The 13589-nt window shown below is 40.1% G+C and overlaps 2 protein-coding genes across 27 annotated transcripts in view; one reads left to right on the top strand and one right to left on the bottom strand.

The window, feature by feature from the left end:
• CNN3 (calponin 3) overlaps positions 1–4268 on the top strand; it is a 30154-nt gene extending 25886 nt beyond the window's left edge. For all 5 annotated transcript variants that reach the window (NM_001286055.2, NM_001839.5, NM_001286056.2 and 2 more), the window contains 2 exons: positions 1708–1854; positions 3142–4268. In NM_001286055.2, coding sequence (NP_001272984.1) covers positions 1708–1854; positions 3142–3483 — 489 coding nt within the window. In that variant the 3' untranslated portion in view covers positions 3484–4268. The remainder of the gene's footprint in view (positions 1–1707; positions 1855–3141) is intronic.
• A 1709-nt stretch (positions 4269–5977) lies between these two features.
• The window catches only part of SLC44A3 (solute carrier family 44 member 3), a 74891-nt gene continuing 67279 nt past the window's right edge, over positions 5978–13589 (bottom strand). For 7 of the 22 annotated variants that reach the window (XM_005270440.3, XM_017000262.3, XM_047444888.1 and 4 more), the window contains 3 exons: positions 9958–10095; positions 8708–8944; positions 5978–6407 (listed from right to left, as the gene is read on the bottom strand). In XM_005270440.3, coding sequence (XP_005270497.1) covers positions 6303–6407; positions 8708–8944; positions 9958–10095 — 480 coding nt within the window. In that variant the 3' untranslated portion in view covers positions 5978–6302. Of the gene's footprint in view, positions 6408–8707; positions 8945–9957; positions 10096–12532; positions 12568–12619; positions 12813–13589 lie in introns of those variants that run through there. The other 15 variants (NM_001114106.3, NM_001258340.2, NM_001258341.2 and 12 more) reach the window with 5 other exon arrangements.

The raw sequence follows: 13589 nt of genomic DNA, 5'->3' as shown, positions 1-13589 counted from the left end.
GAGCCACCATGCCCGGCTAAGTTTTGTAGTTTTAGTAGAGATAGGATTTCACCATGTTGGCCAGGCTGGTCTTGAACTCCTGACCTCAGGTGATCTGCCCACCTCGGCCTCCCAAAGTGCTTGGATTACAGGCGTGAACTACTGCACCTGGCCTGTTTTATCTTTTATATATAGATGGGATCTCACTTTGTTGCCCAGGATAGTCTCAAACTCTGGAGCTCAAGCAGTCCTCCTGCCTTGGCCTCCCGAAGTGCTGAGATTACAGGCATGAGCTACCACACCCAGCCAGAAATGTACTTTATAAATTCCTTAATGTTATTGACCAAATTAGGCAATTTTACACGACCTTAATGCCAAAGTCACTTATTTACAGTACCAAATCATGATATAGCAGCCAAGCCCTGTTAGAATTTGTCAGTTTAAATTCTTCTGAAATACGTAGTTCAGATGTTTTCCTTCTCTTCATTGTTCTCTTCACTGGTCATGGAAACGTCATTGCTAATTCCCCAAATGCTGTTGGCTTTACTCTCCAAAAGCCACTGTACCTGCTTGATACAGTGCCCCTTTCTACTGAGTCTATGCAAGTTAGATTTATTTTTACACAGTACAAAATTGTATTGGTGGTGAGAAACTGGAAACCTAAATTTCAGAACAGTAGTCAGTTGGTTGAATTACAACTCCATAAAAGCAAAGTGTAATGTAAAATTATACACTAGAGTTTGAAAAGATAGGTTATGGGGGAAAAAAATCAGATCATCAAATACTGTGGTCAGTATGGATTTTTAAAATTAAAAATGCACATGTTTTTGTATGTATTTGTATATATGTGCATCTATAGATATATACATAGACACATAGGTTAAAAAGCTAAAAGGATATTCACAAATGTTGACAGTGAATGGATGGTGGTATCACAATGATTTTTCCCCCCTCCTTTTTGCTTATATGTGTTTTCTGAATTTTCTTCAATGAACAGATTTTATATTAGTAATAAAGATTTTCTTTAATCTTATTTTTAAAGAAAAAAGATCCAACATCAGAAAAGTGTGCCTAACCAGTGGAACAGGGTGTAATGGTTGGTCCTGAAGCCATACTGTTCTCAGTGGGGAAGAAAAATTAATTATTGTTTCCCTGAACTTTGCTGAGTTCAAATTCCTCATTCCACCTTTCTCCAGCTCTGTCCAAGGACATGGGAGTTACAGGAATAAAATGTGGTTCCTTTCTGGAGAAAATGTTGGTGATTTTGAAACTTTAAAAAGCCCTTGTTAAGCTCCCAGAGAAAACACTTGGCATTTGCTTTCACATTTTATGTAAAACATTCCTGGAGTAGAACAGCATATTGCTTGGCCTAGGATTACTTCTGTTGAAATAACCGAAGCTGGTACCTCTTAATTTGGTTATCTGGGGAAAGAGTAGCAGAGGAAATTATTCTGCCACTGTAATGACTTTTGGTGTGTCAGTCCACCTGTTAAAGTGTGTTTAATTCTTCTATGTATGAGTTTTTATCTATAGTGACTTTAAAATTTTCTTTTTAAAGTTAGCACTTGAAATTTGTTTGTAGACACATAGAAGAGTTGACTGGAGCCTCAGCTCAGTAACTTGTCGGTTGTGCCCCTTCTGTCTTTTTGGTAGCATGGAAAGTTTTGTTTGTGTTGTGTATATTGTTGACATCTGATAATTTGTGCAATTTTATTTTTAACTTAAAAGATGGGAACCAACAAATGTGCCAGCCAGGCAGGTATGACAGCTTACGGGACTAGGAGGCATCTTTATGATCCCAAAATGCAAACTGACAAACCTTTTGACCAGACCACAATTAGTCTGCAGATGGGCACTAATAAAGGAGCCAGCCAGGTAAGCAATACCTTTTTATACGTGTACAAGAGTACACTTACCTTATTTTTATTAACCAGAAGTTTAAAGTAGGTATTTTTTGTATAGTTTATTTAGAGTATATTCCTTCAGGAATGTGGACTTTGCTGGGAAAGCAAAATAATCAAAAGACCTTTTCGATAGCAGCAAAAGCATGATGTGTCTCGTGGTTTTTGTTGGCAGTTAGAACAGCTGGCCTTTCTACCTAGCCAGCAGAAAAAAAGATATGTTTATTACAGTGTTCTTGCTCCAAAATCCAAGTAAAATATTGCTCATTTAAATGCTGACTTTTTTTTTTAAGGAGCCCTTAATTAATAGGTAAAATTACCTGGTGTTCCACTAAGAAGGATTTAACTAGCATTCCTATTAGATGTGTCAATATAAGGAGATGGAAATGCAACATGGTGAAAATACCAGTATACCACATCCAAGATAGAAATATTTCCTTGTTAAAAATAGATCACCAGCACCTCAGAAGGAAGTTCAACAACCATTTGAGAACAGACAGGTCTCACATCCAACAACAGCTGGGATAGGGTTTGAAAAACATTTTCTTACCGAGTCCAAGGGAGATTTATCAAACTTTGCCCTTATGGAACACATCCTACCGGGTGCGGCATTATGTCTCTCATAGCTGCCACTCACGTTTACTTTTCTACCCACTCTGAACCTGGAAGTGTGTGCTTGATGTAAGTAGAGAGATGAAGTATGAGTTACTGTACTCTGAAAAAGAGGGGAGTGGCTGTGAAGTGGCTGGTTCTTCTGTATCTCAGCCTTTTGAAAAGACTCAAGTCCTTAAGATCTGCTCAACATAGTTTCTGTTGAATATATTATAAATTTTTGAAATTGGTAACCCAGATAATGTATGTGGTCCCCATGGGCATTCACATGGAACTTTCTGGTGTGGAAGCATTATGATTTCACATTCTTTATGTCTCATTCTCTCTTAAATCCAGAGTAGGTAGTAATGTCTCCATTTTGCAGTTTGAGAAACCTAAAGCTAAATTTACGTGTTTGAGGCCACATAGTAATTTTATAGCAGAGCAAGGATTTTGAAGAAAGGTCTCACCTAGCTCAAAAGCCAATGAATATTGCTTCATGGAAGTGATTCGGTATCAGGATATTTTGGTTAAGCTAGCTTTACCCCTGAACCAAATGAAAGTTCATGTATTACTGTTCATATTCAATGTGAATTCTATAATTTATAAATTATTCACAAGAATAGATTCTAGCTGCTGTTTTAACTTTTATACTATGTTCTAATACCAGGCAGGGATGTTAGCACCAGGTACCAGAAGAGACATCTATGATCAGAAGCTAACATTACAGCCGGTGGACAACTCGACAATTTCCCTACAGATGGGTACCAACAAAGTTGCTTCCCAGAAAGGAATGAGTGTGTATGGGCTTGGGCGGCAAGTATATGATCCCAAATACTGTGCTGCTCCTACAGAACCTGTCATTCACAACGGAAGCCAAGGAACAGGAACAAATGGTTCGGAAATCAGTGATAGTGATTATCAGGCAGAATACCCTGATGAGTATCATGGCGAGTACCAGGATGACTACCCCAGAGATTACCAATATAGCGACCAAGGCATTGATTATTAGATCCACACAGAAGGAGCTCAGTATTTAGTCCTTTGTTTTTATTCAGTGAGAACCAAGCTAGCCTTGAGTAATTTTTATCTTGTCTTCCTAAAACACTATTAAGCTTATTGTACTTTTAAGAAAAATTGCCTTACGTACATTCCTTTTTCCTTTTTCTGCCTCTTCCCTCAATAGTTGCCTTTTAGTGCTGTAATAGTTAAATCCTACAGCATAATCAATAACTCGCATATGAAGTAAAAAGGAATACTGTGAAAGGGGAGTACTCTTGTACAGCCAGTTCTTTTATGCAAAAATCTATGCATTTTTACAATCTTATATTAAACTGGTATTTTCAAACAATAGGAAACTTTTTTTTTTTTTTTTTTTTTTTACAGTTTAGTGTATCTGGTTTCTACATGGAAGACTAAACTCATGCTTATTGCTAAATGTGGTCTTTGCCAACTAAATTTAAGATGCAGCATTTTAGAAATTTACATATCAATGTTTCTACAGTATTGTTTGCTAATTTTTAAATAAAGTCATGATCAGTGTGCATTTGTGATTATATGTGTACTCATTCTCTTACCTAGCGAACAAGATCTTTTCAGAGTGGTGTTTCTAAAAGAGCATGTACAAAAGTGGCCTGTGGACATTTAGGCCTGGGTGATGCATTTGCTCTTCCTGTTTGTGCCAATGTATCAATGTAGAGTTGCTCTGTTTTCTTCAACTGTATTTATTGCTGCATTTCTCAGCATAAACTTATCCCATTGTATTTTTTATAAATAAATATTTTTTTTGAACTTTCATATGAACCACAGGCTGATTATTTTCTGGCTAGCTTCTAGATAGGTAGGGTCAGATTTTTTTTTAAGTACCTTTTTCCTAGGTACTGTTACAAGGTACATTAACATTTTATTTACTTCACACAACACTGCACTCTATGCTTAAGGAGATTGAGGCTTAGGAAACCATTACACATAGTAAATGACAGAATTCTAATCATTTTCTGACCCTTGCTTATTTCACTGACTTGGCTGGCCCAGATTCATCTTAAATTCAACTTGGAATAATCTTAAAATCTTTAGGAATATTGACAGGAGGGGTGGGGAATTTTCCTATCTTAGGGTAAGTAAACATGAATAAGAAACATGCTAGGTCAGCCATAGGATGTGCTGCTTGGTAATAAGCCAGGGTTTATAGTGAAACATAAACCTTCAGTCCTGACAGAGGGAAGGACAAACAATAGCTAGGTGTCATAGTGACAAAAATGCAGTCACTAAAAGAAAATTAGTAACTCACACTTTCCGACATTGTCTCAGCCAAGCCATGTCTTCTAATAGGATTGGCTCTATTAGGTTTGGGGGCGAAAACCGTCTGTTTTTTGCTGAGAGATGAGGAGTATATACACATGGTTTGATGAGCCCACAAAAGTGAAGGCTATTTGCTCATCATTCCACAATGACTAGGTTTAATGCTTCTGGGAAACTGCTTGTAAAGGAAACTATTGGAGTCAACCTAATTCAATGGTGGCATTTAAGAAAAAAGTCATTGCATTTAAAGTAGACCTGAGTTCTAAGGCTTTCCTTGTCATCTTTGACTCTTCAAAGTTTAGGGAAGGGAAGCCTTATATCACACTACCTGCCCTGCCATTTAAGTCAGATTGATTCCCATGAGGCTGCCAATCAACATGTTAAAATGTTTCTATTTGGTTAGAGTTTTAAAAACGAAAAGCTCTTCCCCTCACTCCCATCTACATAAATCTCTGAGGTCCAGGCAGAAGTATTTTTAAAAATCTGTCTCCAGGTAATTTCTCAGGTGGGGCTGTGGTTGAAAACCACTTCTTCCAGAATGTCTGCTGTAAGAGGAGTGCTTGTGTATCAGGAGTTTGGATAAATTGTGTGTGCCATCACGGAATGTGATCTGGTGGAGAGACATAACAGAAAGTGGATTCACAGTCATATCAGAGAAGAGCATGGAGGAAAAGGACAGAAGAGAGGGCAAGTAATGCTGCTCAGAGGCATTGCAGAAGCATGATGCTATCAGAGCTGGGTTTTGAAGAATAAGTAGGAGTTTGCCATTAGCAAAGAGGAGGAAGAGTATTCAGAAAAAAAGGAAGAGCATGTGCACAGACTAAATCATTGGTTACACTCCTGCCTCTCCTGTACATGCCCAGTTCAGGTGGTAGTTCATGTTAGAGTAGACAGTTTTGGCTTTTATTGTCACCAAATCTAAGAATTGTACTTTGAAAAGTTAATCCATTTAGCATATTTCCAGGATTGGCTGAGTAGGGAAGTATCCTACTCTGTATAAAAGCAACTTTCCAAGCTGGGCATGGTGGCATGCCTGTAGTCCCAGCTGCTTGGGAGGCTGAGGCAGGAGGATCACTTGAGCCTAAGAGCTGGAGGCCGCAGTGAGCTATGATGGCACCTGTGCATAGACACTGTACTCCAACCTTGGGAACATAGTGAGATGCTGTCCCTTTAAAAAAAAAAATCCAGAGATTTCTGCTAACAAAATCCTTATCTTAAAAAGGTTTATTTATTAGTTGTGCACTTACAAACTTACCTCAGTTCTTACATAGTGTACTTTGTAAGTTGATGCATATAAACATGGTTTTAGAAGAGTTTTTCTGTCCTAATTTGTACAAAAAAAGGTAAACTAATATAGTTCCAGTATTGTTACCTGGTCAAACAATAATGACAAAGACAATGAGGAAGAATAGGGTTTATTAGGTCTTTTAAAAAAAAATTCACTAACTTTTCTCTAGTGGTCTCATCTTCTATTCTGTAAATGGCTCTTAGAAGGAAATGTTTTCCAGGTACAGATACCTAAATGGGTATCTATCTCACAATGGCCTGGAGTTCTGTTCCCTCCTCATTCCTTAATGAGTGCTTGTCCTGCTGTGCCCTTGCATTGTTTAATTTGTTGCTCCTTTTTACGAAACTCTGAAAAACAAAAGAACAAGTTAGAATAGTATTATGTGTCTGTACTGTTGATAACGTAGGGGCCGAGGGAAAACTTCTCCTTTGCCCTCTGACGGTTTGCTGAAGAATTAACTTACAAAAGGCAGATTAACAGGAGAAATGGCATATAAAGTAGCACAGGGGAGAATCACAGTGAGTGTCTAAATGGGGTACAGATAATTCTGTTTTTGGGAAAGGGAGATGGGGAAGTGTGGATGATTTTATGGGGGTGGTGAATTACTTTTAGGGGAGTTTAATGAGCTTGAAGAACACTTAGTGGCTGGGAACAAAGTCTGTTGGGCCCACAGGACAGTGGTTTGTGACAAAAGTCTGTCCAGGTGTGTTGACTGAATTTAGTCTTTGTTTCTGCTATATAAGTCCAGTTAATGGAAAACTCAGGGAAGGGGCCAGAGGTGGTTTTTTTCTTTGGTGGGTCTGGACTTTAGGCAGATAAGGGGATTTCATTCAGATGACAGCTTCATCCTGTGCTTTGGGAGAAGGTCAGAGAGTTCTTGAGGCTTCTTCAGTTCAGCATGTCAAAGTGCCATATTATGGAGTATCAATTTCTGAGTCCCAATGATAGCCATTTACAAGTTCTTGGCCTTAAATTTCAGATAACTGGATCCTTAAGAAAGTTTCTTCTGTTGAAAAAACTATTTTAAGGGGTAAATTTCAAGGTGGATTTTTTTTGGGGGGGAGGTGGTGGAGACGGAGTCACCCTCTGTCGCCCAGGCTGGAGTGCAATGGCGCCATCTCAGCTCACTGCAACCTCCACCTCCCGGGTTCAAGCGATTCTCCTGTCTCAGCCTCCTAAGCAGCTGAGATTACAGGCGCCTGCCACTGTGCCTGGCTAATTTTTGTATTTTTAGTAGAGATAGGGTTTCACCATGTTGGCCAGGCTGGTCTCAAATTCCTGACCTCATGTGATCCACCTGCCTTGGCTTCCCAAAGTGCTGGGATTGCAGGTGTGAGCCATAGTGCCCGGATTTCAAGGTGGATTTTTAACTGGAAAAGTAAATCAGGGGATGGAGACCTGGCTAGCTACATACCACCATCATAAGCACTTTCCTTAGAGTACATACAAATAAGTCAATAAACAAGTAAAAAGTAAAAATTGTATTTTGGCTGAGTGCGGTGGCTCACAACTGTAATCCCAGCACTTGTGGGAGGCCGAGGCAGATGGATCACCTGAGGTCAGGAGTTCAAAACCAGCCTGACCAACATGGTGAAACCCCGTCTCTTCTAAAAATACAAAATTAGGCGTGGTGGTGCACGCCTGTAATCCCAGCTACTTGGGAGGCTGAGGCAGGAGAATCGCTTGAACCTAGGAGGTGGAGGTTGCGGTGAGCTGAGATTGCGCCATTGCACTCAAGCCTGGGCAACAAGAGCAAAACTCTGTCTCAAAAAAAAAAGTAAAATTTGTAGTTTATGTTTTATATGGAGAAGGATGAGGATACATTAATTATAAATTGTAGAAGTGGTTCTTAAAAAATTGAGTGCCTGCTGAACCAAAGAGTGCATTAAATGCTCTGTTTAAAGCTAAAAGGGCTTTAACACCTAATTTTTATGGCAACAGAATGAAAGAAAAGTATGCAAATATCATATAACTCAGACAAGGAAAAGAGATGAGACATCATTCAGCTGTTAAAATATCCCTGTCTACCCAGGATAAGGCAAATAAGCAACAACTGTGTTGCAAAGGCTGTTGCAAACAGCTGCCTGCTATTTCCAGATATAAGCAGTATGGGCGCTCCGCTGAGGGTGTGGCTTTTCTCACACTGGTGTGCCTGGGCTAATAAAGGGCCTGAGAATTGCAGATCTGTCAATACTGGCACAGAGGAGCACACAAGTGTGCTCTCCCTAATATAGTGGGTATGAACATCATGCTTGGAGATGCAAAAATGCTTTAGAAAAAGATCAACTGTTAAACTTCTAGACCACCCAAAAGGCCAGATCATGCCATGAGCACCAAAGGGAGCTGAACTACTGTGTTCAGGACATCTTCTGCCCAGGGTAAGAAGTGCTGCTGCTACTTAGGAATCCATCTGATCAGCATTCTTGTTCAGCTTCACTTCTTCAGGGAGAAGGTTCTCAGAAAGGGAGGTGGGTTCAGCCTTGGAGAGTTCAGCGCAAATCCCACTTTCAGGCCCGGGGGTAGTAGAAGCCTCAGAGCCCTCTAGAAGAGAGAGGCTGGGTATGAGCCTCTTTCGTGTGTGCAGCTTTACAAAACTTTCAAGATTGCGAGCATGGAGATTGCAATTGGAAATGAAATGTTTGCTTACCAGAAATTCTTGATCCATAAAGTAGGGCTTTTCTGACGATCCATCATTTGTTTCCAGATCAACAGCAAAACACAGGAAAAGTGCATCCAGCACAGTTTCAAACACAGATAAAAAACTATGGGCTACTAAGTAGGCAAAAAAAGCTACCAATAACAGAGGGACTGCCCACACCTGGAATGCCCGATTGTAGTTAAAAGCCATGAGTCCTCCAAAAACAGTGAAACACACCACTAACACCTGTGCAAAAGAAGAGTTTGTTGAAAATCTTTATGAATCAGTTGCTTAGATGTTTTTGTCAGTTACAAGTAATGGTTTAATATACGTTCCTGTGTGCAACGTGTGTGTGCACTATTGTAAAGAATGCTTGTCAGAAATTTTGGCAGAATGAAATAGAGGAAAAAATGAAAAGCTGTATCAAAAGGAAACCCAGTTAATGGCGAGTAGGAAGGTTATATGTAATTTTATCTGTGCCTAGCTTTTGTATTTATATAAATGTAATAATATCTCACAAGCTTTTTATTCTGCTTTTTCACTTAACACCAAAATAAGCCTATTCACTTTAAAACTTTTTTTAGAAACCATCCCTCTTTCTTTTGAGACAGAGTCTCGTTCTGTTGCCCAGGCTGGAGTACAGTGGTGTGATCTCGGCTCACTGCAACCTCCGCCTCCCAGGTTCAAGTGATTCTCCTGCCTCAGCCTCCTGAGTAGCTGGGATTACAGGCACCCGCCACCACACCCGGCTAATTTTTGTATTTTTAGTAGAGACGGGGTTTTCCCATGTTGGCCAGGCTGATCTCAAACTCCTGACCTCAAGTGATCTGCCTGCCTCGGTATCCCAAAATACTGGGATTACACATGTGAGCCACTGTGCCCAGTCCAGGTTTCAATACTCTTTCCATATATTCTTAATGAGAAACCCACAAACGTTCATTTTCTGAGATTAGTAGCATTTTCATTTTAGACCTGAAAAAGAGGGAATCAGAATGGTAGAACTGATCACAGGTAAGAGAGTAAGACTAAGATTAAAATTCTGGCTCTACCTATTGTAGTACCCTGGAAAGGTTATTAAACCTTCATTTTCTCTTCTGCAAAGTAGGGATACCTCATGGGATTGAGGATTAAATGAGATAATGAAGCACAGCACCCACTATAGAGTAAGTACTCAAGAAATATAGTTCCCTTTCAAACCAATTGTTGTATGGCTTAATTTTCAGAATCCCAGGCTCCTTTATTTAGTCAAGATATCTCACCTTTCCTAGAAAAATTATGAAGTCTCCAAAGCAGTTAATAGATGTAAAGTGACTTGAGTTCTTGGACAAGATTTTGAATGCATCTTTTGCTGATGTACAGAAATCTGTCCCATTAATAGCAGTTGTAGTATATGCATTCTGAAACAGAAGAGAATTGTTTAAAAGATAATTCTTATAACAATTGTTTTTAAGGCAATATATTAATACAGAGTGTTTGCAAACTAGAGTTACAATAAACCTACTCTCTCTACCCATAACAAATACCATTTTCAAAGTCCTTTCCAGTCTGATTATATCCATATATATTTTCATATAGTTGCAGCAAATAGAAAAGATAAATAGGTACTTATGGTTAATATGAATGTCCCACTACAAACATGTGGAAATGATGGGTAAAGCATAAGGGTTTTATTTGCTTGTTTTGAGACAGTCTTACACTGTTGCCCAGGCTGGAGTGCAGTGGTGCCATCTTGGCTCACTGCAACCTCTGCCTCCTGGGCTCAAGCGATTCTTGTACCTTGGCCTCCTGAGTAGCTGGGATTACAGGCGAGAGCCACCACCCTGGCGATAAGTTATTTTTTAATGCACAATAGAGTTTGAGGGCAGGAAAGGAAGTTTAGGTACCAGAAAGCAAGCGGGATCTAATGGTTTGTGAGAGCTGAACCCAAAGGTGCAACAGGCATGCAATTAGGCCCTTGCTAGGGAAGTGAGCTCCTTCAACAAATTCAGGATTCATACTCAATTCAGCCTCAGTCAGCCATTCCAGGAAGGTGGTACAGAAATGCACTATGTGCCTAAGAGTGTTAAAATTACTAGGGTTTTGCAAAGGCAAAGCAACATCGCCACCTCCCAGGCCAGGGAATAGAGGAGTCCTACAGATAACAACCCTTGGAGAAGACGAGGAGCTCACAGGAAAATTTTATAGAGGACCCATGGAAATGAACATCACAACAAACAGAATCTACCCTGAGAACAACCTGGAAAAAAAGTATTTAGAGAGGTATGTTTAAGGTACTAAGAAAATAGTGAAAGAAACAGTGACCATAAGGAATAAACAGAACAGTATGAAAAATGAAGAGGCAGAGTAGAAAACAAATTGAATAGAAATTCTAGAAATAGGCCAGGTGCCGTGGCTCATGCCTGTAATCCCAACACTTTAGGAGGCCGAGGCGGGAGGATCACCTGAGGTCAGGAGTTCAAGACCAGCCTGAGCAACATGGAGTAATCCCTTCTCTACTAAAAATACAAAATTAGCCAGGCATGGTGGTGCATGCCTGTAATCCCAGCTACTCGGGAGGTTGAGGCAGGAGAATTGCTTGAACCCGGGAGGCGGAGTTTGCGGTGAGCCAAGATCGTGCCATTGCACTCCAGCCTGGGCAACAAGAGCGAAACTCCATCTCAAAAAAAAAAAGCTAGAAATAAAAAATATACAGTGTAACTGGTATGGTGTCATGATTATATATCTGGCTTTTTTCTTTGTATAATAAGCATTTTTATGTTACTACATGGCTTTTATAATTTTAATTTTTAACGCATATTCTGGGATATACATATGTGCATGTGTACGTGCATGTGTGTAGCTGGGACATGTTGACTGTTTCAAATGTTTTGCTGTTATAAACAACTATGCAATGAACTCTTGATTTCCTGATTTTAGATAATTTCTTAAGCATAAATTCTCAGAAACAAGATTACTATATCAAAGACTACAAATGTGTGTGTGTGTGTGTGTGTGTGTGTGTGATTATGTTCACATGAGACGATTTCTCAGGTTATTTTTTCCAAAATACCTTCCCCTTATGACTACATTTCAAGACCATTTATGTCTCTTGAAATCTTTAAAAATGCTACTTGCATTGCAGATTACAACAAGAATTTATAACTTTCCTGGGAAAATACATGAGAATACTACCTGCTTGGGTTGTTGTCATTCCTTTTGGTTTGGATAAAGGATGAAAGTTTTTTATTTCATGATATACAAATTAACCCTTTTGTACACCCCTTCAGACACATCGTAAGGAAATCAGTGTGGAGTCTACTGCAGTAATCAGCCTCCCACAGTGCGGGTCCTAATAGAGTAAGTAGAAGAGATGAAGACCACTAACAAGCATAGGGTTAAGGGAGCAGAATTAACTGACCCAATTTACCAAACTCCCTCTTCAAGGCCAGCAAGAGAAGAATGTTTGGTTCTTAAAGACAAAAGGCTGGGCCAGGCACGGTGGCTCATGCCTGTAATCCCTGCACTTTGGGAGGCCAGGGGTTGGGGCAGATCAAGAGGTCAGAAGTTGAAGACCAGCCTGACCAACATGGTGAAACCCTGTCTTTACTAAAAATACAAAATATACATATATATGTGTATATATATATATATATAGCCAGTCGTGGTGGCACATGCCTATGATCCTAGCTACTGGGAAGGCTGAGGCAGGAGAAACGCTTGAACCCGGGAAGCAGAGGTTGAAGTGAGCCGAGATCGCACCACTGCACTCCAACCTGGGTGACAGAGCGAGACTCCGCCTCAAAAAAAAAAGACAAAAGGCTGGAAACCATATCCCTGATAGGGCACCATGCTTGCCTTAGAGATTTTCAGTGAGACGTCAGATGAATTTCCTGCAAAAAAAAAAAAGAAAGTTCCACAAGGAAATTTTGGTTTTGGACTTACATAGAATGTGCGTGAAATTTGCTTTGAAAATCTCAAACCAGCTGTTGCTGGAAAGCTGCTCCAGTTTGGGGGCCTGAGTCTTGTGCAGGGATGTGGAAACTCATTTACTCATATTATTTAACTAGGCATCTTCAATCATCTTGGGTTTTCAAAGCCCTGATGACCAATCTATTCATTCATCCTCAAAGCACATCTGTAGGATGGGTGGGTGAAGAATGGCATAATTGTTCTTTTATAGACTGGAAACCAAGATCAAGGGCATTTCCCCCAGGTCCCCTGGTGAATCCATGAGACAGAGACCGTTTTATTTTAATTTTTTAAATTCTAACCTTCTGGACATTACACTATCAATTTTCATTAGGAAAAATTGCTATTTAAAAGCATGGTGGTTACGGTAAGCACAGGCTCTGTAGCCAGACTGTCTCTGTGCTCAAATCCCAATTCTACCACTGACTAGCTGTTGGTCTTGGGCAAATGATCTAACCTCTCTAAGACCTCAATTTCCTCATCTATAAAATGACTTACAGCACCTACCGCAAAGGGATGTTGGGAGGATTAAAGAACCTACTCCCTGTAAAGCACAGAGAAAATGTGTAATAAAGAGTGGTTATTATCATCCAGACATCACCAAAGATGATCTCATTTACAACTGGGAACACAGAGGCAACTCTTTAAGCACCTGAGGAGGTGTGGCAGGGGCCTGTAGTTGCTTTACCTGTAGGCTTTAATCCCTCACACCCACAGGGATCCAGGAAAGGGCTTTTTAGACCACCTGCCAGCCCCCAGCATCGTCTTACAGCAGCTCCACCATTGCCGCTCAGCCTCTGTCTCTGCCTCCTCTCTTCATTCAGGCTGCCTCCAGCCCACCACCCCATCACTTCCCCACTCTAAGCTTCCTAAAGTGCTTCTTGCTTCCCATGGGGAAGCACTGTTTTTGTGGGGACTTCTTTTTCTGCAGATCACTGCCTCG

This window comes from Homo sapiens, chromosome 1 (assembly GCF_000001405.40).
Source record: "Homo sapiens chromosome 1, GRCh38.p14 Primary Assembly".
NCBI lineage: Eukaryota > Metazoa > Chordata > Mammalia > Primates > Hominidae > Homo > Homo sapiens.
Note: the sequence above shows the minus strand (reverse complement) of the source record. Positions and strands in the feature narration are given on the sequence as shown.